This window comes from Homo sapiens, chromosome 2 (genome assembly GCF_000001405.40).
Source record: "Homo sapiens chromosome 2, GRCh38.p14 Primary Assembly".
Classification (NCBI taxonomy): Eukaryota; Metazoa; Chordata; class Mammalia; order Primates; family Hominidae; genus Homo; species Homo sapiens.
Window position 1 is genome coordinate 49,988,979 of NC_000002.12, and position 26,328 is coordinate 50,015,306.

Sequence of the window (26,328 nt, forward strand, 5' to 3'; positions counted from 1 at the left end):
GGAATCTGAAGCATTGCCCAGCACAATGTGGCAGCCAGACTCTAGATTATTCCATTTGAGTTCTGAGTAACTGTAATTGTATGCTATTTTAAGCTTATGAATGCTAAGATTGTTTAATTCTTAATAAGCTGATAGGTAGCCCTTAATTGCATGATGAAAATCCAAGTCCAATGGCTTGTGTGCCACTTGCCTATAAAAAGCAAATAAAGGACTTACATTTCTGGTTCAGGTTGTAATCCACCAAGTGAAACCTTGGGGTCTTTAAGCTAAGGATCTTTACTTGAAAATCACTGTTTTATAGCTTATTAAATTTCCATGTCAAAAATATCAAAGAAGTCATTCAACAAACATGTATTGGGTCTACTAAGTGGCAGGTCTCTTTAGGACTCTGCAGATGCAGTAGTAGCAAATGTGATAACAAGGCTCTAAGTGAATTCATCTTCTATTTGAAGAAAGTCAGAAAACCAACAGCCAACCAACAAACCGGTCAATGCACTCCAGGGAAAGACCATGAGGAGCATACCTTTACTTGAACAAGTGAGTTTATTAATTGTTGTAGCAAGGAAGAACACACACCACACGGAGCCATGAAGTATCTTAGTAAGATACTAAGTAAGGGCATTAGTAAAGGCATATTAAAAAGAATTCAGGCTTATTCGGTGATTCTGGGGAGGGTTTAAGAAAACAGGACTTTGTTCTGTACTGGATGCTGCCAGAAAGTAGAAGCAATTCTAGGATTGGATAGCTCAATAAATCTTATCTATAGCAAGAGCAGACTAGAGTGAGAATAAAGTTATGATTGGTAGGAAAGTAGTATTCAACTTAACCAATAAGATGGTTTGACATTTTGTGGGTTATATAGTGACACCAATTTTTATCTGTTTTTTAATGAAAAAATGACATAGCATTATTTTCACTCACTTTATTATGGTCTTAGTGTGACTGTGTTTCATGTTGGTACTCTATGAAGTTATTTCTCTCTAATGGGTGAACAATATCATCTACCTGTGGGCTCCAGGCCAGCTTCTAACAATGCTGAGGCCTCACTTACGGATTAGATCAGTTCCCAGACAACAGGGGCTACTTTTCCCTTTCAATCATGCAACCAGCCAAGCAATAAATTTAAAAAAAAAAAAACTATCAAAGAGTGATAGAACATAGTAAAAGGGATGGCCCTTTATATTGGGTGTTCAGGGAAAGGCTGTTAGATTTGAACAATCAGAAGGAGCCAACATATGACTACAGGGGGAAAAACATTTCTGTCCCAGTGAATAACTACTGCCAAGGCCCTAAGATAAGAAAGAGTCTGAGCATCAAAAGAAAGACAGTGTGATCTAAGAATGATCTAAGAGCACAGCGAGGAAAGACAAAAGGAAGGAGGGAGAGCCAGGTGGCCAGATGGAAGTTGTGTAGGGTAGGTAGGGTATTGTGACTTTATTCTATATATGATAGGAAATCATTGAAGGTTGTAAGAGCAGAATAATGACATAATTTTATTTATATATTTAAAAGATCATCCTGTATGTTCCATGGAGAAGCAGAGATGTGAGTCAGGAGGTTTTGCAGTTTAGGCAAGAGATAATAGTGGCTTGCCACAGGTATTGGTGGTGGAGAAGGCAGAGCTGACTGTTCTGAAGTCAGTGTTCATAAGACTTACTGATAACATATCAGTAAGTAATTTGGGAAGTGAAAAGCAGGAAGAAATGAGTGAAGGATGATCTTAATAGTTACTTGGTTCTTAATGTCAGTGATAATCTTATTCATCATGTTATTCCTAATACCTGATTCACAGAGGGCACTAGATATAGAATGAAAGAATACCTTTTGTAGCTAATGTTGGCACTATTAGCAAGCTTCAAAAGTATCTGCATTTATTAATCTCCAGTTGGGGTTTGGTTCCTAATTTCTTCTGTTGATTTGCAGTTAACTCAGTGGTGGTAGCAAGGTACAAAATACCCCAGGACTACACAGAACAACACAATCAAGGTAGAATTGACACAAATAACTCCTAAGAAAATGTTTCCTACATATAGAGTAAATAATTTACTAAACATGCTTAAAATAAATAAATTTGGAAAAAAATAAAATAAATAGAAAACTTCCTCAAATTGATAAAGAACATTCTTAAAAACTTATTACTAACATCATATGTAATAGTGAGAAACTTGACACTTCTCCACTAAGACTAGAAACAAGACAAGGATATCTCCCTTTCACCAACTGTTTCAACATCATATGGGAATTACTAGCTACTGCAATAAGACAAGAAAAAAATAGTAGGAATACAGATTCAGAAGGAAGAAATAAAACTATCTTTGCTTGCAGGTGACACAATTGTGTATGCAGAACATCTGAAAGAATCATAAAAACCTCCTGGAACTAGTAAATGATTATTGCAAGGTCACAAGATACAAGTTTAATATATAAAAGTTAATCTCTTTCATATATACCAACAATGAACAAGTAATATTCAAAATAAAAAAAACATAATAACATTTACATTAGCACCCCCCCAAAATGAAACACATAGATGTAAATCAAACAAAATATCTAAAAAATAAGTAGTTTTCTTCTATATAAGGAGAACTACAAAACCTTGAGGAATGAAATCTAGTAAGTAAATAATGGATAGAACTAAATAAATGGATATTCCATGTTCATTATTATTGTCAAAATGTCAGTTCTTCCCAACTTGATTTATAGCTTCAATGCAATCCCAATCAAAATCCTGGCAAGTTATTTTGTGGATGTTGACAAACTGATTCTAAAGTTTATATGGAGAGGCAAAAGAACTGGAATGGCTAACAAAATATTGAAGGAGAAGAACAAAGTTGAAGGACTGACATCATCTAACGTCAAGCCTTACTATAAAGTTATAACATTCAAGACAGTGTGGTATTAATGAAGGAATAGGCAAATAGATTAATGGAAGAGAAGAACCCAGAAACAGACCTAGATAAATATAATCAACTGATCTTTGATATAGAGCAAAGGTTACATAATAAAGCAAAGATAGTCTTTTCAACAAACGGTGCTAGAACAACTAGACATCCATATGAAAAATAATTTAGAGACAGACAATTGACAAACATTAACTCAAAATGGATCAAACCCTTAAGTGTAAAATGAAAAACCATAAAACTCTTAGAAGACGACACAGGAGAAAAACCTAGATGACCTTGGGTATGGCACTGACTTTTTAGATACAAAACCAAAGGATGATCCATGAGAGAAATAATTAATGAGCTCTACATCATTAAAATAAAGAAAAAACTTTTGGACCGGGTGCAGTGGCTCATGCCTGTAATCCCAGCACTTTGGGAGGCCAAGGTGGGTGAATCATGAGGTCAGGAAATTGAGACCATCCTGGACAACATGGTGAAACTCCGTCTCTACTAAAATACAAACAAAAAAAAAACACCCCAAAAACAAACAAACAAACAAAAAACCAATTAGCCAGGCATGGTGGTGTATGCCTATAGTCCCAGCTAGTCGGGAGGCTGAGGCAGGGAAATTGCTTGAACTTGGGAGGCGGAGGTTGCAGTGAGCCCTTCCTGCCTAGCAACAGAGTGAGACTCTGTCTCAAAAAACAAAAACAAACAAAACAACAACAATACTTCTGTTATCTGAAAAACTCTGTTAAGAAAATGAGAAGACAAGCCACAGACTAGCAAAAAATACTTGCAAAAGACCTATCTGATAAAAGACTGTGATCCAAAATATACAAAGAACTCGTAAAACTCAACAATGATAAAACAAAAAAAGGGCCAAAATCTTAACAGACACCTGACCAAAAAGAGATATAGATGGCAATTGAGCACATGAAAGATGCTCCACATTATACACCATCAGGGAAATGAAAATTAAAACAACAGTAAGATATCATTACACGCCTATTAGAATGACCAAAATCTGGAACACTGACAACACCAAATGCTGGCAAGGATGTCAAGCAACAGGAATGCTCATTCATTGCTAGTAGAAACGCACAATTTCACAGCCATTTTGGAAGAGAGTTTGGCAGTTTCTAACAAAGCTAAACATACTTTTACCATACAATCCAGCAATCACTCTGCTTGGTATTTACTCCCAAAAGTTGAAAACTTACGTTCACACAAAAACCTGCAAAGAGATGCTTATAGCGGCTTTATTTATAATTGCCAAAACTTGGAACCAACCAAGGTATTCTTCGGTAAGTAAACGGGTAAATAAATGGTGGTACACCCAGATAATGGAATATTAATCATTATTTTAAAAAATGAGCCACTGAACCATAAAAAGACATGAAGGAATCTTAAATGCATATTACTAAGTGAAAGAAGCCAATATAAAAAGGCAATAATATGGTATAATTCCAACCATATGACATTCTAGAAGAAGCAAAACTACAGAGACAGTACAAAGTTCACTGGTTGCTAGGGGTTTTATGGATAGGATGAATAGGCAGAACATAGAGGATTTTTAGGTCTGTGAAAATACTCTGTATGACACTATAATAATAGATCCATGCCATGATATATTTGTCCAAATCCACAGAATGTACGACATTCATGTAACCTCTGGCCTTTGGTTGATTATGATGTGTCAATGCAGGCTCACCAATTGTAACAAATGCACTACTCTAGTGGAGGGTGTTGATAATGAGGGAAGCTATCCATGTATGGGGGCAGGGAGCATAAAGAAAACCTCTACCTTCCTCTTAATTTTGCTGTGAGCCTAAAACTGCCCTAAAAATTGTCTTTTGAGAAATTAAAAGACATTTAGAAATCATGGAAAAAATAGAAAAACGTAAGGCAATTGCTCATCATAGCAGATAAAAAATCCAAAGGTTCTGAATTCTGTCCCAAAATACCCTCAATAGGGTGTCCACCTTTACCTCATTAACTTATTTGAATGGTACATTTGTATCTCTTGAAGAACTCTTAGAAGAACTGGCTGTGGTGATGTTTTCTGCCTTCTGTCAACCTTTCAAAATCACATGCCCATCAGATGGCATTCTCAAATTTCCTGCCCTGTACCCCAAGAGAACTGTCCTCAGGAACAATACAGAAACTGCCTAACTAAGTATAGTCAATAAACCACTGCTTCAGAATCACACCGGGGATCCTCTGTTTCCCTTCACAAGCAGAGTCTCTCAGGAAGCAGTAATGAAGCATAGTACGGGGGTGCTCCTCCTTAATGCCTATGAAGACTCATAATTGGAACCCAAACTTGCTCTTCAATGTGTTGATGACTCTGCAGACAAACCTGGGCTTCTCTGGTGTGCTTTCTTATTGTGGAAACCAACAGGTCAAAATATTAATATGTGCAGGCAGAAATAGGTGTAGAATATAAGCAAGAGGCCTCTTTCTTTCTCTATTGGTATGTTTGAAGCAATATGACTAATAGACGAATCCAGTCTGTTTTAGAGGTTTAGTTTGGGAAAGTCCTTGTAAGGCATTAAAGGAGTAGTTTTAATTCACAGATAATACGACACTCAGATACAATGCCAGAATATCCAAAATAATTTATTGCATTCTACACCCATGGATTCCTGAAGGTTAGAGTATATTTAAACTACACCGGTAAGAGTTGTTGGGAAAAATACAAGTATCTCAGAGATCACATGGTCACAACCTACCTATAAGGACCTCAAGCCATGTAAAAACATCACAGCTGAGGGAACTACTTCAAGGAAACAAAGACAGAACATGGTCATCCTAAACCCCAGAGGCAAACTTACAGCCATTAAATAGACTCCTTTGGCCAGTCATGCTCATTCATTCTCATTTAAAATAATTATTTGATGATACAGTCAAACAAGAAAGTATTCTGCTTTTTGTAAGGCAAAAGGTGAGAGTGAATTTCTAGAAGTTAATAAACAGGTTGGTAGTTTTCTTCCACTTTGCTCATAACATCATGGAAAAATCACTGAAGTGTGAGAAACAGGATTCTGTCACACCAGTGCCTCACATCCAATGCTGCGAGAGAATGAAATATTGACAATTTAGGTGTAGTTCTCATAATTTCACCCAACTCAAAGGAATGACTGAAACACTCCTTGATAACAAGAAAACACCTGAGGAAGGGAGAGAAAATAATCATTCTCTCCAACCTTCTTTGCACCTTTCGATTTCATATAGCTAAGGATACACATTTCTCACAGTGATTGAAGAGGGTGGCAACATCTGTCAAATCTGTAGAGTCAAGACATGAAATTCAATTTTAAATTCTCAGTAGAGGAGAAAAATGAGAGAAAGGTAACTTGTAATTTCTTCCAATTAGATATACAGGAATAACTAATTGAAATGAATGTTTTATAAAAAACCTTCTTTTACTTTTTAAAAACTGAATTTCTACATTTTAATAACATTGTCATGTGTAATTATAGGGGTGTTGAAATTTTGTTTCCTCTTTTCTGAGCCCTAAGTTTGCCTTCTGAGAGAAAATCTTGAAAATGTAGTCATATTTTAAAAAGTGGTAAAGCCTACTACTGTTCATATCATTTTCAACCATCAGTAGACCTTAAAGATAGGAAAAGAGGCCGGGCGCGGTGGCTCACGCCTCTAATCCCAGCACTTTGGGAGGCCGAGGCGGGCGGATCACGAGGTCAGGAGATCGACACCATCCTGGCTAACATGGTGAAACCCCGCCTCTACTAAAAATACAAAAAATGAGCCGGGCGTGGTGGCGGGTGTCTGTAGTCCCAGCTACTCGGGAGGCTGAGGCAGGAGAATGGCGTAAACCTGGGAGGCGGAGCTTGCAGTGAGCGGAGATCCCATCACTGCAATCCAGCCTGAGCGACAGAGCGAGACTCCGTCTCAAAAAAAAAAAAAAAAAAAAAAGATAGGAAAAGAAAGAAAATAGCCTGTACTTCAAGTATGAAAGCACCATGCTGGATAGTAAAAAAAAAAAAAAAAAAAAAAGAAAAAAGGATTTAGAGAGCCTAAGTGTATGCCCCTTGGGTCTCATGACTCTGTCAAAATGACAGGGTGATTTCCAGAAATTCATTAATCCTTTCAATGAATATTTACTGAGCATCCACAGTGAGCAGTGATCTGCACAGGAAGCTAGGAGTGGGATGGGGTGAGTATGATGTACAATGATAAATGAGACACAGAAAATGCCTTTGAGGACCTTATGGTGTAGAAGGGGAGAACACATACTTTCTCCTACCTTGTATTAAAATTATTTGTGTGTGAGAGTCATGAGAAGTATAAATAAGGTATTATGAAAGTTCACAGAGGTAAAAAATTAATTCTTACAGGGAGGAATTGCAGAAGTAGAAATAACTGTCTTTGCCTGGAAGGATGAAAAATCTCAGGACATGTAGAGAAGGTAGAAGAACATTTTCTTTGAAAGGGATGGGATAAGCAAGGACATTAAAAAGATAGCATGGTGTACCCACAAATCATTCAGTTTACCTGAATCAAGAGGAGGACAGGAATGGAAAGGAAGATTGGGGATTTACATAGTATGGTAGGCTAAATCCATCTACTTTCTAATCTCTGGAATTTTTAAATAAGTTAACTGACATGGCAAAGTCTTTGTAGGTATAATTAAGACTCTTGAGTTGGAGATATTATCCTGGATTGTCTGGTGGGCCCAGTGTAATGACAAGGGTCCTTTCAAGTGAAAGAATAAGGCAAAAGAATCAGAGTCAGAGAGAGAGCTATACTAATGGAAGCAGGGATCAGAGTGATGCAAGGAAGGGGCCATAAACTGAGGAATGCAGGTGGCTTCTAGAAAATGAAAAAGACAAGGTAACATATTCTCCCCTAAAGCCTCCAGAAGGAATGCAGCTGCCCTGCCCATCCATGCTAGACTTCCAACCCCTAGAACTGTAAGCAAATTTATTTGTGCTGTTTTAAGCCACTATATTTTTGGTAAATTGTTACAGCAACAGGACACAGATATAGAGTGGAATGTTTTGAATATACTACATCTTAGTCCAAATAATTATTTATCCATTCTCTCTTGGTGTACCTCAACTTTTACTTATTATTTCATTACAACATTTATGTTGTATTTTTTATTTTTATAAAATATATTTGCCTGTCTGCTTCGTTTGAGTTATAAAGAAGGTGAAAGTACTACTAACAGAATACAGAAAACCCACAAAGAGAAAAATATTTAAAAGCAAGATGCTGAAATCTTTTTCGAACACAGTACGTTTGAAATACCAATGGGTCAACACGGTGGGTGGACAGTTGGAGATGGAAATTCATGCCTCCTGCTTGAAGATAAGAGCGCATATCTCTTGGAAGCAATTACAAAAATTTATTATAGCTCACAAAAGAGAATCATTGAAGTGTGACTATTGACCATTGGGAAAATTTAAATAGTATGTATTCATGAGAAGGGAATTATTTAATCAGGGTATTTTGACATAGGTTGCTGGAAGAAGTGATTTTATATTAAGTATTATTAGCTAAAATATTATCATTTTAACTACCTGTGATTACCTATAGGCAAGGCATAAGGCAATCTACTGGAGATGAATTCACGAATGGAGAAAAAGACCTTTTAAAGAAAAGTATGTCATCTACAAGTTTCTTGGTTTTTGAAATATCTCTAGCAGGACATTAATCCCTCAACTTCTCAAGTATTTTCTGAGTATCTACTAGTGCAAGGTAAGGTCCTTTATTCATTTTTATCCTAACATAGCCTTTGGCTTTGAGAAGCTTATTGTCTCCTTGCCATGTAAAGTTGTGTACTTCCTCAAAATACTAGAAATTTAGAATTTTCCTAAATTATGATTTTCCCCAAGGGTATATAAGTTTTAAGTCTCAAAAGCATACATGGCCTATCTTACAGCCTGTTCCTAGAGTTCATCTCTCTAAGATGAGTCTGAGGTCACTCTCTGCCTGGGAATCTGAGGAAGCTGGGCCGCCGGGGTGCAAGGGAGACTTCACATAGGGAAAGGAGGCAAGGAAGGCTTAAAGTGAGGGCAATAAAAATAACCTTTACCTGTTTCAAGTCTTGGGTTGGCCCAGACTACCACCACTTCAGGGATTTTTATAAAATGCTGCTGCATTGCTTTTGCTAAAAGAGAGCCAGGTCAGCAGAGTGGGATGACCTTTCCCAACAGAAATGCCATGATGTTTAGCCATCAAGCAGAAATTTCAGGGACAATAAGATACTGTAGTCTGCATGCTTTTATCCCAAAGTGAAAACCATAGAGGTCAAAAATATGAGTTAAGGGAGGAAAGAATTAAAACTTTTACCTGCTCTAAACTCTGAAAAGATGATGGTGTGTTCATCCCTGAACCTTGTCTCAACACAATTTCAGAGAACTATAAATGATGCCTCCTAACAGACTACTATATGACCCGTGACTCCTGAAGTAGTACAATGAGAAGGATAACCTTCACCACTTGCAAATCTTAATGCCCATGTATATACACATGTACATATTTTTAATTGTAAAATGTGTGTAATGAATTCCCTTCAAGATAGGGAGGATATAATTTCCCATAATATGTACTTGGTTGCTTTTTATATTTTTTTAGAAACGTCAAACTTTTTTCAAAACTTTTTTTGGAAATACCCAGTATTTTTTTGCTACCCAAAACACATGTGAATTGGAGCATACTTCTTTATGTAACAATTAAAATGTAAAATGAACCAATTTTTGCTGAAAAACCAATCTGAAATGCAGTATTCACTTCCCTGCCTTCTTAATCAAAGGATGATGGACATAATTTAACCTTTTTAAAAAAAATAATGTCATGGCTTTCATTATTATGAATGATAATTATTCTACGTCGCTGCGATACACAGAGACCCTTAGGGATTGCTGTGGTGTATGGAGCTTCTTGCCTACACGAAGTAGTGTAGGTGCTTTTTGTTTTTTCATTTTGAGCCAGCTGTTCATAAATTTTTCTCTGTCTTTTCTCACTGGCATGCTGTATGTGGGTTGCCTTTTTTACTACTGTCGTTGTAGTCAGTCTTCCTGCTTCCATCAACTCCTAGCCAAACAAAGCAAGACATTCCCAGTGTGCCAAAGCTCAGGCAAATTACCTTGTACTAGCATTTTAGGCCGATGCTTCTCGTACTTTAGTGTACTACAATTAATCTGGGGATCTTCTTAAAATTCAGATTCTGCTTTGGTAGCTCTGGAATGGGAACTAAAAATTTGTGTTTCTATCAGCAACCAGGTGATGCCTTTGCTGCTGGTCTTTGCAACACACCTTGAATAGAAAGATATTAGCTATCATGACTTTTTAGAATTGTGTCTAGATTAAAAGAAAATTTGTTTTGAGGGAGTGATTGGCTACTCTCCTATAAATAAGATCTAAAAATTTAGAATATGAATTTTAAATATGCTATCTCCAAAATGACTTTCCTTATCTTTATATCCCTGACACCACCACATAAACATATTTCCCTTCTCTATACTAATATAGCATTTAATTTCTTCCTCTCTTATGGAATTTATATATTTATAACTTATTATTTAGATATAAGTCAAGTACTGAACATGAAGAGGAACCAAGTCTTACATATCTGTATTTTTTGAAACTATACCTTGCTCAAAAATGGTTGTTGAATAACTGTAGCAATTGAAAGCTATAAGGTTCTTTCCGTATAATTTCATATTCTTTGTTGCATCAATTTTTCAAATAAGTAATCAGGAAATGAGACAATAGTATAATAAATCAGTATAAATTTCAAATTAACTGTTAAGAAAGTAAAACATGTTTTCAGAGTTCCTGCCTCTTTGTCGTATACTTATTTCTTCAATTTGCCTCCTCCCACCACACCTCATAGAACACACAAATAGATATAAAAGCACATACAATCTAAACATATATCATCTTCATATTCTTTAATTTCTAAAACCTTATTTCAAGAAAGGGCCTGGAATTAACTTACACTAAAATGTAATGACTAACTGCAGCATAAAGTATATTTCCTACCTTCACCCCAAGAAGGGCTTAAACGTTTTAATAGAAATCAAAGCCTACATAGTGGAATGAAGCTGTGGAAGAAGATTTTTCGGTTTTTAATCATAAAACAAAAGGTATATTAAATAGAACCTCTCCTAATACTCTCACATTGGGTGATGTTTGCACTGAACTTCCCCTAACTGAGAATTGCTAATCCACAGCTTTCCTGCACCTGGGCTGTAAAGTTGCTACATAGTGATAAACTGCTTGTATCCTGATATGATGAACTAATATGCACAGAAAATCCTCACTAAAAGTGCAAGCTATAGAAACAGTCAAGGCTAAAGCAGGGCAAACACAAAAGTCAATTTGGCAGCTCATTTGAATCTACATTGTGCTTCTTTCCAATGGCAGACAGAATTTATCATCTACTGGAAAAGAATAAAACAAAGCCCCAATTTCCATTAAACATTTGTGTAATAAAAAGAAATGGAAATTATATAACTAGAGATAATTCAAATATGTAAATAAAATTGTCAATGGAAGCAGACATCATCATAGCTTTTGAGTTAATATTATGTGATATCCATTTTACTAATTTCATCCAGCACACAAATTTGCTACTTATCTCACACCTCTAATTAAATTAGTGGCCACCTACATGAAATTCAGAATGCACTCAATAACAGGTGCTTAGAAGGAAAAAGTGAGGCATAAAATAAGATAGTCAACATAATTTACACAGATTTATATAAAGTTGCTCTGCATCAACATATTCCTAAACAATAGAGATTAATAAGAATATGACTCTAGATAATAGTCCCAGAGTCTAGAGTCATTTCTCTTGTTAACAGGATATCAATGTGGTGAAAAGTGTACAAAGGGTATCTGGATCTGCCTTTCCTGACTCTGTAGATTGTTCGCTGTGAAAATGGCTAGGATCAGCTGAGAAATCTGAGCATAAAACTGGTGAGCAAGGCAGGCTGGAGGTACAGATGAGTTCTGGCTGAGATGCGGTGCAGACAGCTATAAAATGAAGTTCTTACAGTATTTGCTTTCTTGGTCATCCAGGGGTTGTTCAATTGTGAAAGTCAGACAACACGGCCTTAATTTCAGATAAGATAAAAGTCATAAAATTGTTATTTTCTTCCCACAACAAAACAAACCCAACAAGTCAGCATATTTTGCTCAAAAGGAAAGAGAGAATAGGTACTAGCTTGGCAGTGCCTTACAAATCTCAGACCATTGTAGTCAGTGGCTTTAGCATCAAAGGGACCTGGGTTTGAAGTCACAGCCCAAGAAAGCATGGCTGAGCTATTTAACATCTCTAATTTCAGATTTCAGTGTCCTTATCACAAACTGTGGATGGTAATCTTTATCTCACAGAGAGGTTATAGGATAAATAAAATAACATTTATGGATTGCTTAGCAAAATGACTGCTCAATAAATAGTATTTATAACTGCTTACATTGAAGACAATCATACTGAAGTACAAATTTTATGATCCCTTCCAGTTTATCTGAAAATTAAGGAGATGAAGTGAATGCATACTAAAATTCTTTAATCACCAGGGGCTTAAATATTAAAGTATGTAAAGCATTTAGGGGGTATATAAAAGAGTAAGCTATTATCACAGTGAGCCACAGAATGTGTTAAGAAGATAGACTCTGGGGCCAAATTATCGCATTCACATACCTATTCTGCTGCTGCCCAGCTGCGTGCTTTGGATGAGTAACTTAAATGCTCTCTGCCTCAGTTTTCTCATATGTAAAATGAGAATAATAACATTTAATTTTTAAATAAGGTAAAAACGAAATGGGTTAATAAACATAAATAAGAGATTGGCACATACCAACTTCTACGTATTTACATATATATGTTTTAGAGCACACACATACTGTTGTAAACAGACCTTAGACTGATAAGTAATTTCTGCCTCCTATATCTACATCTTATTGGAATTTTCTCCCTTTAAGCGTGGACATGACCTGTGACAGGCTTCTGGCCAGTATAAAATGGCAAATGTTAGGCTATGTTATAAAGACTCCATCTTAGGAGAAAGGAGTGCCAGACTCTCCTGCTGGCCTTCAAGAAGCAAGCTTCTTGATGCAAGCTGCTAATGGAGAGGGTCCTATGGCAGGCAGCCTCTAAGAGTTGAGGGCCTCAGTTCTCCAACCAGAAAGAATTAAGTTTTATCAACAACCATGCAAGCTTGCAAGAGGGCCCTGAGCTCTAGAAAGGAATGCAGCCCTGCCAATTCTGTGATTGTAGTCTAGTGAGAGCCAAGCAGAGGACTTAGTTAACCTGTGCCCCGACTTCAGTCAGACCACATGAACTGTGAGATAACAAATGTGTTGTCTAGAGCTTGTAAGTTTGTTGTCATTCATTACACAGCATAGAAAACTAATACACATACTTCCATATAGAATTCAGAGAAAAGAAAGGGAGGAAACGAAAAAGCTTATTTTCTCAGTGCTCTGTCTTAGTTTCAGGCTGAGCAGCCTTGACCTGGCCAGTCATTGCTGAGTCTATCATTGTAAAGTACATTTAGGACAGAAAGATCTTACTCTAGTCAAGATTTCTCCTATAGGCCCTATTTTAGCCTCTGGCCTTCATGAATGGCAAGAATATTAGGATGTCAGTGATAGTTGTTTTTCCAGCTTCAGATTCCAGTTAAGGAATTTTAGCAAAACAATATGAACTAGAAACCTTTTTGAGAGTGGGAATGAGAGATCAAAATATTTGTCTTTTAACGTCAAAGTTTACTAGGTTTTGCTGACAAAACTAATCTTATGTATTACTGGCTTTCTGATGAGCTTCTGTCATCCTTCCCTCATTTTTCTGCCCTGCTCTGTCCGCCATTCCCGAGAAATAGACTAGGAGTCAAGGGATCTGTGTACAAGTTTAAGCTTGGCTTGTAGTTAGTTGTATGACTAAAGATGATAAAGATGAGCCAGCTCAACTCTCTCTTCTGTTGACCTGAAAGTGTTGGGATGGGGGAAAATAGATGAACAATAAATGAAAATAAAGTTCTTGAGAAAAGTTACAAGGGCAGAACAAATACATGACAGTAATGTTACAAAACAGTCTTGAAACCTCAGAGGAATCTAGGCAACTCTTAAAAAGCCTCAAGCCCTTTCCAAAGTATGAACCTGCTTATGATTTAGAGTCTGGGCCAAAAGATTTATAGGATTTGAGAAATGAGAAATAAGTTTTTCTCTCTTAGACAACTCCTATATAAAAGCAGTGGTTTTCGAGATAGTTATGTTCTAAGGCTTGGTGGATGAGAATACCCTGATTAATTATGCATCAATATGGAATAGGGTCCATATATACCACTTCTGTCATTAGTCCCTTCTGTACCTACAACAGGTACAGAGATGAGAGATCAGAGGCTTGGGGAAGAGAAATAGCTTGTTAAGATTATAGAGCTAGTTACTTTCAGCTGTGGGACATAATTACAAAGGAAATTTGTACATTTGGTTATTCTTGTTAAGTATCTCTATTTGTAATGCCAAACACAAATTTTTGCTACTTCAAAAGCTGTTTTATTTCTTAAATTTGTGATGTCTCTATTATATTTTGCCAATGTGAGGAAATGAGTGTCTAATCTTGTCAATGTAATATTTATTCTCAATTCCTGCTATATTCATTCCTCCTAATTTGAAAGTTGATAAAATCTGTTGGCAACCTCCTTGAAGCTGCAAAGCAGTTACTCAAAACAATTTTCAGAATGTTCAGTATAAATGGGCACATGAACCATTCTTGAAAACCGATGTGCCTTTTTGCTTCACATGTTTAACTAAAGTCGGTTATAAATTTTAAAATTATTTATTTAACTTTTTCACATCCTTGTTTTAAAATTTCCATACCATAATACAGTGTTCTTTCAGGATCACATGTGAAATAGATAATATTTCCAACATTTCATGAGGAGCTATGGGGAAGAAATGATGAGCAATTCCATAAGGCACTGATAGACATAAAATAAGAGTACATACTTTCATGTCATTCCAGATAGAAATATCAAAGATGGAACATTTTCCTTCCCCTTGACTTAACAGATGCCCACTCTCATTTAGAACTATTTCCTGACAATGAAATCTAGTTGGAGAGATACAACATAATAATTCAAACACATTGAAATAAGTTTTGCACTGAGGTAAAAAAGCCACAGGGTATGAAAAGGCATGGTGTAGTTGGTGAAAGGGAGGTGAGGTATTACTTGAGTAAAAAGTTTACATTGGTGGGGTGGCAGAGATAAAAGAAGATGGAGATAGAGATAGGCAGGAGTTAGATCATAGTGAAAGTCTTGTAGTTATTTTAGGGAACCCAGGAAGCTTAAATCTATCAATCAGGATAGTGACAGGGTCAGATACATATTGTAGAGACACTCTTGTGAGTAAGGAAAGACTCATTTATAATAAAATATTTGTGGTAGTCCATATGATTTGGTCATTCTGCAATACATTTATCAATATCTCAAAACTCACAAGAACATGTAAGCAAAAGTTAAGGTATATATAGAGAGAGTGGAAGAATCTTTAGTATTCTCTGGTGTCAATTTGTATGTGATTTTTAAAAATTGTTTTTGGAAGCATTTTATTTTCTGTTTAGTGGTTGCTGTAGTTTTCTTGAGTCTTCTCCCTACTGCTAATTTAGGCTATTTGGCATATTCAGCCTCATGGTTGCAAAACTGGGGTTTTAATATTAAAACTTCCATTGTTCATTTAGATTTTTCCTTCTGAAAATTTGTAGAATTATTCAAGGCAATCTTTTATATACACTTTCTACCTTCCTTTGCCTCCCAAATCAACAACCTGAAGGTAGGCCGAATTAATACACACTAGTTGTGGTAATAATGTAGTTAAGTTGACACTGTGAGCTGTGGTCTAGGCAGAGAATGTTACGTGCAGAGCTTCTATTGTCTTCTTTCTCCCAAACACAGTGGTAGGTTATTCACATTCATTCCTTGCTACACGCATCTAGTTAAAATAACTTAGACTTTTTCAGGAAAGACAAACTGAGGCCAAAAGCTATTGCTCATCTCATTGCTAAAACTCTGGCAACATTTTCTGAATTCCACAGATCCACAGTTTGAGAAGATGATTGTTTAACTTGTGGCATCATGAGGGCCCAACAGTTTAGAAAACAGTGGGACAGCCTGTTGCCCTGCAGCCAGGTGATAATCCACAGTAACCAAAATAATAACAAATATTCATGAAACCACTGTCTTTCTTTTTCAGCTCATTATTGAATATTTGCACTGTATTTATTATTTCTGCTGCAAAGAAAGTAAGAAATTACCAACCAATAGATCATGTTCTTATCAAGTGCCAGGCAAAAATAATTCTTATAACTACACACTAGGAAGAGAGTAGGAAACTGGTAGGAAGGGACCAAAATGTTATACAACAAAATACTATGCACGACAAAGATATGGTATACTATAGAAAGCAGATTATTTTTAAAGAAGCGATATAGACTTTTCTGCAAATGTTAAAAATTGATTCTTATTACTTGAGAGGAAGACAACTTGCTCCAATTCTAAAATGGCTTTAAATCATTTTCTCTTTTTACCAGTCAACTGCTTTCCTACAGGCCAATAATAGCATTACCAACCGGGACAACCATGAGAGTCTCCTTACTCACAGTTGTCCAAAGCCTTTAGGCTTCATACTGTGGAATGTATCATCTACTTTTTACCAGCATTATCTTCCAGAACCTAGAGCAAATAACTTCTCATTACTACTAAAAACAAAACAAAAGCACAACCAAAAACAAAAACACACTCTTCCAGAGCTTCCCATTACCTAGAGAATTAGTCTAACCTCTTTTATAGAGTTTTTAATATTCTCTAAACATCTGCTCAAAATTATTCACTTCCCTGCATTCTAATTACCTTCTGCACCAAATTCTACAGTTCTCAAACACACTGTGCATCTTCACAATCTTTGCTCATGCTGAAGCCTCTGCCTCAGACGCATTTCTGCTAATTCTCCATCTGACGATAACTTACTGCCCTTTTAATGTTAGCATTTTTGCCACAGTTAGATCTATTAATTTTATTGGAATCAACTTTGCCCTATAGAGAGGTTTCTGAAAGTATAACTTGCCACCGGTGTCCGTGCTATTAAAAACACTCATGCAGAGAATGCATGTTGACACACCTTGGTTGTCTACCTCATCAGTGACTACCATTGTTCTTATATAACATAAATCAATCCTCAGTAAGTATTTGTAGACATGGAACTTCCTCAGCTTGTTCCCTTTCTCTTTGGTATCTCTTCTCTCCATCCTCAAAGCTCATAATCAATGGCCAATTAATTCCTCTTGTTTCGGCAATGTTCCTCTTGCCTACACAATATTCCCACTTCCATTACCCTAGTTCTAATTTTCATTACCTCCTTCTTGAACTACCGCACTTGCTTCCTTAGCTATTGCTCAGCTTCTAGTCTCTCCCTTCTTAGGCCATTTTGTAGTCAGCTGGTGAAGTCATTTTCCCAAAGCACAGCTCTAATAATTCCATTCCCTGGCTTAAAAAACATCAATTGCTCTCTAATGCCTGCAGACCAAGTCCAAACTCCTTAGCAGGTTTTCTATCATCTGCCCACCATTTGCCTTTGCAAACTTTTGTTATACATTCCCATTATACTCATTCTGCATGCCAGTCATTCCCTGAGGCATTCTGTGGAGTCTCTCCCATTCCCTGACCTGATGTATGAATTCTCTCCTTTGATCTCTTAGGTTACTCTTTTCCTCAACATTGCCTGTTGATATACCCACCTTTAAAGAAACAAATGAAATGCCTCTTCCACAATGATGTATGTCAAGAATGTAATTTTAGATTTTTTTGCTCCTAGAGTATATTCATTGTATTGCTAAAAATGTATTACTCCACTTTACTACTATTGCATACAAAACTGTGCTTGTGATTCAAATCCCCCTCTCTGCAGGGATAAATCATGTTTTGTTTACTTCTCTTCCTGGGGTTGGGCCTTAAACAGTGCAAACACAAAGCACAACTTCTGGATCATCAGAACGATTTAGCAATGAAACAGGCTATCTCGAAGATGAAAAATATTTGAAGAGAGGCTAGATGCTCATCTATGAAGATGACTGAAGGAAATGCATGCACTAGGCAGATGGTGAGATTGCATGACCTTTTAAGTCCCTTACAAGTGTAAGTTTCTGTGCTATCAAGGGAACAGGCCAGGTACAGTGGCTCACACCTGCAATCCTGATACCTTGGGAGGCCAAGGTGGGAGAATCACTTGAGGCCAGGAGTTTCAGACCAGCCTGGATAACAAAGCGAGACCTTGTCTCTACAGAAAATAAAATAATAATTAGCCAGACATAGTAGTGCATGCCTGTAGTACCATCTCCTAAGGAGGTTGAGGCAGGAGGATCATTTGAGCCCACACATTTGAAGTCGCAGTGAGCTTTGATCCCACCACTGCACTCCAGCCTGAGTGACAGAGCAAGACCCTATCTCTGACAAAATGTGGTGGTCACATTTTGACGTTTGAGGGGTCACCACCCCTCGACAGGCCCTGGTATGTGATGTTCCCCTCCCTGTGTCCATATCTTCTCATTGTTCAAATCCCACTTATGAGTGAGAACACACAGTATTTGGTTTTCGGTTCCTGTGTTAGTTTGCTGAGAATGATGGTTTCCAGCTTCATCCATGTCCCTGCAAAGAACATGAACTCATCCTTTTTTATGGCTGCATAGTATTCCCTAGTGTATATGTGCCACATTTTCTTTATCCAGTCTATCATTGATGGACATTTGGCTGGGTTCCAAGTCTTTGCTATTGTGAATAGTGCTACAATAAACATACATGTGCATGTGTCTTTTATAGTAGAATGATTTATAATCCTTTGGGTAAATGCCCAGTAATGGGATTGCTGGGTCAAATGGTATTTCTGGTTCTAGATCCTTGAGGAATCGCCACACTGTCTTCCACAGTGGTTGAACTAATTTACACTCCCACCAACAGTGTAAAAGTGTTCCTATTTCTCCACATCCTCTCCAGCATCTGTTGTTTCCTGACTTTTTAATGGTAAGTGTTATTCTAACTCCCAATGCTGTCTACCTAATGTGAAAGTTCACCATTCTAAGTAACCAGTCCTGGCTTTGTTATGAAATTTGGATGCTGAATCCAAGAGATTAACAACATGATGACAAAATTTACTTATTCTCTTTAAATGTGTATAACCATCAACAAGAGAGACAAGATTATTTATACATCAAGATCCTTGCCTTATTAATTTCGTCTCCCCAAGTATCTAGACATTCCCAAAATAGGAGGTTCAATGTTTTAAATAGCATTGATACATGGTTTTCCAAGTGACTTGGGAGTATGATGACATCTCCTAAGCAAGAGTGATTGGACCCATGATGAATTCAGTTTCTAATGAACAGAACACTAGAGAACTGGGTTTGGATCTAACTTTTGGTTCTTTTCTATATCCTCTTGGAGGTAGTTAGCTTCCTTTACTGTTTAGATGTGGAAAGGGCCTTGTTTGCTAAGTTTGGGGAAATACAAAAAGCTTGGCAGTCAGGAACTAAGCAGGAATCCAATGGACTGAAAACTCCTTTGGAGAAGGATGCCATTTTTTTTTTTTTTTTGAGATGGAGTCTTGCTCTGTCACCCAGGCTGGAGAGTGGCATGATCTCGGCTCACTGTGAGCTCCGAGGATGGCATCTTATGGTTCTTTTTGATTCCTTCCTCCCTAGAAAAGTCCAGAATATGACTCTGAACACTATGTAAGATATGCACATAGTAATGAAAATTAATTGACAAAATTTTCTGTGGAATCTCAATTGCCTTGCAAGAAATAATACAAGTGCAGATCGAGTTTTTAAAACCCTGCATAGGAAGGAGAAGAAAATGAACATTCTGCTTCAGGATTGGAGTTTTCTTTCTGATCTGCTAATTCTACAAAGTATATAAGATTACTCAACACGTTTTAAGTGGAAAGCAACAAGCTTACTCTACATTATAGTAGCCATAATGTCACTAGGGGGTGTATGTTTGGTTGTGAGAGGGTGTTATCAATGTTAATTACAAAGTTTTTAAGAGTTGATAAATTTCTTCATAAAACAATGACATAAAATATCTCTTCAAGGTAACAAATCCTGAGAGTCAAAAAGCTCAGGATGGTTTCAATCAATAACTTTATAACTACCAACTATTTGTTTTTCCAAAATTATTAATTAACAACTAAGAAATTGCTGAAAGCCTCCTTGGAGCATTTTTACAATCTTTGTATAGAAGTAAATAGTATTTATGATAGTATCGATATATTTGGACTAGACTTTACCATGGCTATGGGACCTGCTATAGTTCTTGATGATCCCTTGTCATGAATGGAACTTAGGTAGCTATTGTCACAATCTCTGCAGTCACTAAGCATAGAAAGTCCTCACTAAATGCACTAAGCATAGAACGTTCTCACTAAATGCACAAGATTCAAATAAGATGGTATTTTCCAATTCCTTCACTCAGTCACTTATATGAGGGCTAAAGCCATGGTAACATAGAGGCTCAAGTAACTTAAAAAATAACATATTTGAAATTTACTTGCTGGAAAGGGACACCCCACCTTGATTTTAATGAATTTCAGAGCAAATACAAGCTGTCCTCAGTGGCTTTCATATGAATTCCCTGCACAGTCTTCTTCCTTTAGAAATGCAAAAACTATTTCAAGATTTTTATGCCTGCATGGAGAAAATTGCTATTGTGTACAATTAGCATATTTACTAAGGTTTGTCATTACTTTTGGTAATTAAAATCGTACAAAAAGAGAGACATATCCAATTCAAGAAAATTACACAGTACAGTAATATACAATCATAATAGTCGCCTGACAATTATTAAAATACACCAAGTTCTCCCTTACAGTAAAAGTATTCACCAGAGTAGCTTCTGAATAAGATCATTGCAGTGCTTTCTATTTAAATGTTTTTCTGCACAGAAAATTATAATTACATTTGCATAACTACTGTAATCAATCTAGAATTATGGCTGAAATTTTTATTCTTGAAATCACTGTTCTTTCTAAGATAGTAGGAGCTCTGAGGCATAATCTAGGTTTGTGGGCCATTATTCTAATTTGTAATAGGATTAAATATATTTTTGCACTCTCTTTACAACAATCAATCACTCTAGAGACATAGCAGACGATACAACTACATCACACAATTTGTTTTCTTCTGTCTTGAAAAAACAAACCAGGCTTTAATTTACCAAATCCATTTTGTCCAAAAAGCAAAACAAAACGAACTCAAGTTAAAAAAAAAAAGTCAAATTTATAAAAGGAGAACACCAAATATTATTTCATGAAACAGACTCAATAAGAAGTCAAGCATTCATCTCTACATTTAGATGCTCTGTACTTACTGAGATTAGCTGGGATGGCCGAGATAATTTCTGTCCCATCATGGAAATACTGGCTACCATAAACCAAAGATTTCTTTTGAATGTTCTCCTTTACTCCTGCTGTATTCAACAGGCTTCCTTGGAGCCTGATGTTATTGTCTTATCTTTTTAAAATATCCAAGTCAGATCTGATGAAAACGATAAGCAGACCTAAATACATTAATCTGCAACCAGATTCTGGTAGAGCTAGCCTTTTGCAACGATAACTCTAAGAAAATGCCCTGCTAGCCCCTTCTTCTGACCAATGAGCTGATAATGTAAGACCCTCACAGACACCATCTGCATGCATTCTCTCTCAGGAGTGCAGAGACTCAGACACTGTAGCAGGCCAGAGAATGAGGTGTTCTAAAATCCCCTCTCTCTGGTCCTGCTGCAACTTGTTTTTGGTTACACAGCCCAGCTCCTCAAGAGAATGACATCTCCAGGGATCAGGCCATAACAAAAGAAATTCTCAATAGCACAAACAATATATATTTCCTGAGAAGCACAACATAAAGTCACTACAGAAAGCTACCCTGAAGCATTTCTCTAACATGTGGTTTCAAAATCATTTCCATGTTATCAATGCTAATTATAAAGTTTTTAAGACTTGAAAAATGTCTACATGAAACATTAATGACATAAAATATCTCTGCAAGGTAGCAAATCATTGAGAGTCAAAAAGCTCAAGATGGTCTCAATCAATAACTTTGCAACTACCAACTATTTGTTTTTCCAAAATTATTAATTAACAACTAAGAATTTGCTGAAAGCCTCCTTGGAGAGTTTTTACAATCTTTGTATAGAAGTAAATAGCATTTATGACAGTATCCAGATAAGTTCGGACTAGGCTTTACCTTGGCTATGAGACCTGATATAGTTCTTGATGATCCCTTGTCATGAATGGAACTTAGGTAGCTATTGTCACAATCTCTGCAGTCACTAAGCATAGAAAGTCCTCATTAAATGCAATGTCTTTTTAACAAAGATATTAAACTGAACTCAATATTTTCATACTTTTTTACTTTGGAAGATTTGGAGCTGTGCTCAAAATTGTACAAGGAACTGTTTTAATGACCAATTAATTCAGATTGGCAGATACACAGAAATAAACATGTTCAGAGAATAACAGCAAAGACTACATAGATACCCATAGATTATGATTGACTTTTGGTGAGAAACTCAGATAAGCTGAGGACAAACATTAAATCAGCAGTGGAATTATAACCTTACTTATCTTTGTGCTCAAGTGTTTGTTTATAAGCATAGATAATACCTACCTAAGAAAAATGGAGCCCAGCAGGCAGCTAGATTTATATTTATATAATTTTATAAAATAGGTTCTTGCCTCACCATCAGAGGCTGGTCAAGTTGCCAGCCTCTAGAAAACATTGAGATCTCTAGGTATAGATATATCCTTATTTGGAAGGTGTATGAAGCCAAAATAAAGACAATTCCAAGATTCCTCTTCTTTAAATAAGGTGAAGACCCTTAAAGATGGAGAAAAATAGTCAAAGAAGAAGGCAAAGAATCATAGAAAATTGGAGATAGGTGGATGTTAAGCACATTTTATTTTTTATTTTCATTTTATATACATAAAAATTGAGGCTCAAACAAATGAATATTCTTAGTCATGATTACATAGCCAGCAAATGCATTGATGAATATACAGCTAAATCACTTTCCATTATACAACACTGAATTTGAAGAAATAAGATCACATTATGGATGTAAGGCAAACATAATAGCCCAGGGTCAATATGGCAGAGAAATAAAAGTTAGCATTTTTCTATCTTAAAAGTATTCTGGATTTTCCCCCCATCTTCATAAGGTTGGTAACAACAATAATGGTTCATGGACAACCTAGAATATTTCATATTTAAACTAGAGTCTTTTCTCATGGAAAACAAACCATCCATGTCTTGATCAAAACAGGGGCATGAATTACTAGAAGAATAAGAGCAAAGAAGAAATAAGCATAAAATGTTTTTCAAGGACCATCTTGAGATAATACTATTATAACTGCATTTACAACTTGTATGTCTTTTTAAATCTGATATTTGTAGTAGTGTATAGATTAGCATACTTATGGAACAAATGTGTTTCTCTTTGTTTAAGACAAGTAAGTTATAATTCATACAAAATATTAGTCATGGTGTCATCTCTTCACCAATTCTATTATCATGTATAGGTCACAAGCTATTTCTGGTTTTCATTTTTCTTTAAAAAAGAAAGAAGAGCTTGAATAGATATAGCATTTTGAAAATTTTGTCCTGAAAGACTTTTCCACCTCCATTCATCTTACAGATCTGATAATTTTTCACCAAGGAAACAGTCTTTGTCCTGGAGTCTCATATGGCTCTTGCCATAACAGTATATCCAAAGATTCATTCATTTATTTACTCACTGAATAAATGAAACTCTACAAGGCACCAAGTTCTGTACCATGGCTATGTATACTGTTAAAAACAAGAAAAAGAAGTAGTTGACCTTTTAGAATTTACACTACAGTGAATGGGAAAAGTCCATTTTTTTTATAATGTAGTTTTCATTTGAGTATTGTTTTGTATTATTAATAGTTAACCCATGGAATGGAATGGATTGCACTCCTGAAGTATTACTTCTGTGGGACCTTCAATGCTTGTGGCTGTGTCCTTCTTTGCTGTGGCACATGCTTTGCTAGTGGAAAGAATTTGCAAAGCCCTTTTGTGGGGGAGAAACCCTACCTGCTTGGGATCTGATCTGAAAACAAAACCTACATTTGTTCATCACCACTACCTCCTCTCTAAATCCCTTAAATATCCCTCTACTAACAGTCACTCAAGATCATGATTTAATCATTTCATGTCCAATAAAGTATTGATTTCATTTTCATTGGTTATCTTTTATATGATCATTTAGCCATTTTAGGCATTATATCTTCAAGAAGAAGGAGATTTGTAAATACTACAAAGGGGTTTTCGTTTTGTGTTGTTGAGATATTACTATTAAAGTTTCTTTTTTTTTTTTTGGATACAGCTGTGTAAAATAACCAAGATCTATTTCTCATTCTAGCATGTGGTCTCAGCATTCTGTACAAATGATTTTACTGGCTTCGTAAACTCCCAAGTTAAAGAATCTCTTTAGGAAGAATCTTAATTGACCTCTTGAATTGTTGGCCTGGTACCCAGAGTAAAAGAATTGTGTTTTAATAAGGATTACTTTTGTCGTGGTTTATTATGCTTTAGCACCACACGCTAATTGATGTAGTTGCAGGAAATAAGGTAAGACATGCCATGGTTTGGTTAAAAGCTTCATTACATGTATTTATGAAGAGTCTTATGGATGAAATAATTTACAACATCTATTACATATATTGAAATGTATGCTACTGCTTCCATTTCTTATAATCTGCGGAACCCAGGTCTGAAACCACTTGGTGGAAAACGTTTTTAAATTTTATTTTGGTACCAAGTGGCAATAACAAAAGTTCAATGACTGGCTGAGTAGCAATTTGGACTGATTTCTAAATGTGGGCACAGCATTAATGAAAGACATTTCTTATTTTTGAGATAAAGCAAACCTACATGAAAGAGAAATTACATCATTTGGGTACTAGTTTCAGTGAATGCCTGACAATGGGGGAGTCGGAAGAGTGGTGTAATGACGGAATGCTAAAGCTAGGTGAGTTAGGAAGGGTTATTTGGAGATAAGCCTTGAGTAGGACCTCAAAGAAGGGAAGCAATGTGGATAAGCTAGTAGGAGGCTGATCCAGAAGTTAAATATTAAAAGTATAGCACTAGAGATAGCAACAACCATGTGTCTAGACTAAAGAGCTTGTTTTTTTTTTGTTTTTGTTTTTGTTTTTAGAAATGAGTATGGATGGAGAGAGGGGATTATAGCAGAGCGAATAGTGTTGAAGTCTTGGTGGGGACATTCCGATTTAATAAGTAAGTATAGTTTCTTTATCAAGAGTAACCATTCGAAAATGCTATTTGAGGATTAGTTACCAATGCAACTAAACTTCATAATGAATGATGATCATGGTTAGCACCCACTAAGTGCTTACTATGTGTTATATACTATTTTAAAAACTTCATGTATGTCCTTGTGTTTAATCCAGGATTTTGTAACCATGATGCAATTGACATTTAGGATTAGGCAATTCTTACTTGTGGGGGACTGACCTGTGCACTGTATGATGGTTAGCAGCATCCTTGACTTCTATTCACCAGATGCCAGTAATCACACCAAAACATCCCCACACAACCACAAGTTGTGACAATCGAAAGTGTCTCCAGACATTGCCAAATACTCGAGGGCAAAATCTCCCTAGTTGAGAACCACTGATTTGTTCTTAACACCACGTTTCAGTTAAATTTCATTAATTCTTTTTTTATTGCCTCTTTTTGTAGTTGAGGACATGGATGCTAAATAACTTGCCCAATGTCACATGGTTAATAAACAAATTTTAAAGCCTCCCTGTGAACTCCAGCGACTTAATTCTAGGGCCTGGATTTGTAACCACTATTGTCTATTACATCCCCATAATCTTTCTAGGCAGGAATCTAGCATAAACAAAAAAAGAAATAGCCCAGTGTAGTAAGTCTCGTTTGAACTGATATATGAAAAAAATGGCAGACATTTAAATTTTAGGTAATGCTATCACAGCCGGTGTAGTCAAGACTTCTGTCTTTTGTTTTGCAATTTATCAAAAGGCTGACTTTCTCATCTAATCCTATTTCAGTGGTATGTTCTACATAATTTTTAAGAGATTTTGTTGTATCTAACCTTAAATCAATATCACAGCAGTTTTATGATTTTTTAGTGCCTCTCTCATCATTTCTTCTAGGCTTTGGCTGGACAAGGGGAATAAAAGCCCTGTGTTTTTCCACAACTATAAGAAATGCAATTATCAGAGCATATCTTGTACTTTCCAAGTATCCCTAGATTGTACAATATGCCTAACTGTCCTAACACAAGGGGACACTTGCTGCACACTTTATGATTAGAGCTGTTCCATGTTCCTTTAACGATATGTGGAAAGCAAG

At 36.2% G+C, this 26,328-nt stretch overlaps 1 protein-coding gene across 19 annotated transcripts in view, besides 1 other annotated feature; it reads right to left on the reverse strand.

Annotated features, from left to right (window-relative positions):
• The window catches only part of NRXN1 (neurexin 1), a 1,113,630-nt gene that overhangs the window by 70,476 nt on the left and 1,016,826 nt on the right, over positions 1 to 26,328 (reverse strand). The gene's annotated exons all lie outside the window — the stretch shown is intronic.
• Positions 15,458 to 16,191: an enhancer, noted in NCBI's record as "OCT4-NANOG hESC enhancer chr2:50231574-50232307 (GRCh37/hg19 assembly coordinates)". NCBI's record gives its function as "activates a minimal SCP1, AML or CMV promoter by ChIP-STARR-seq in naive H9 embryonic stem cells {active_cell/tissue: H9 hESC(naive)}" and the evidence as "EXISTENCE:reporter gene assay evidence [ECO:0000049][PMID:30033119]".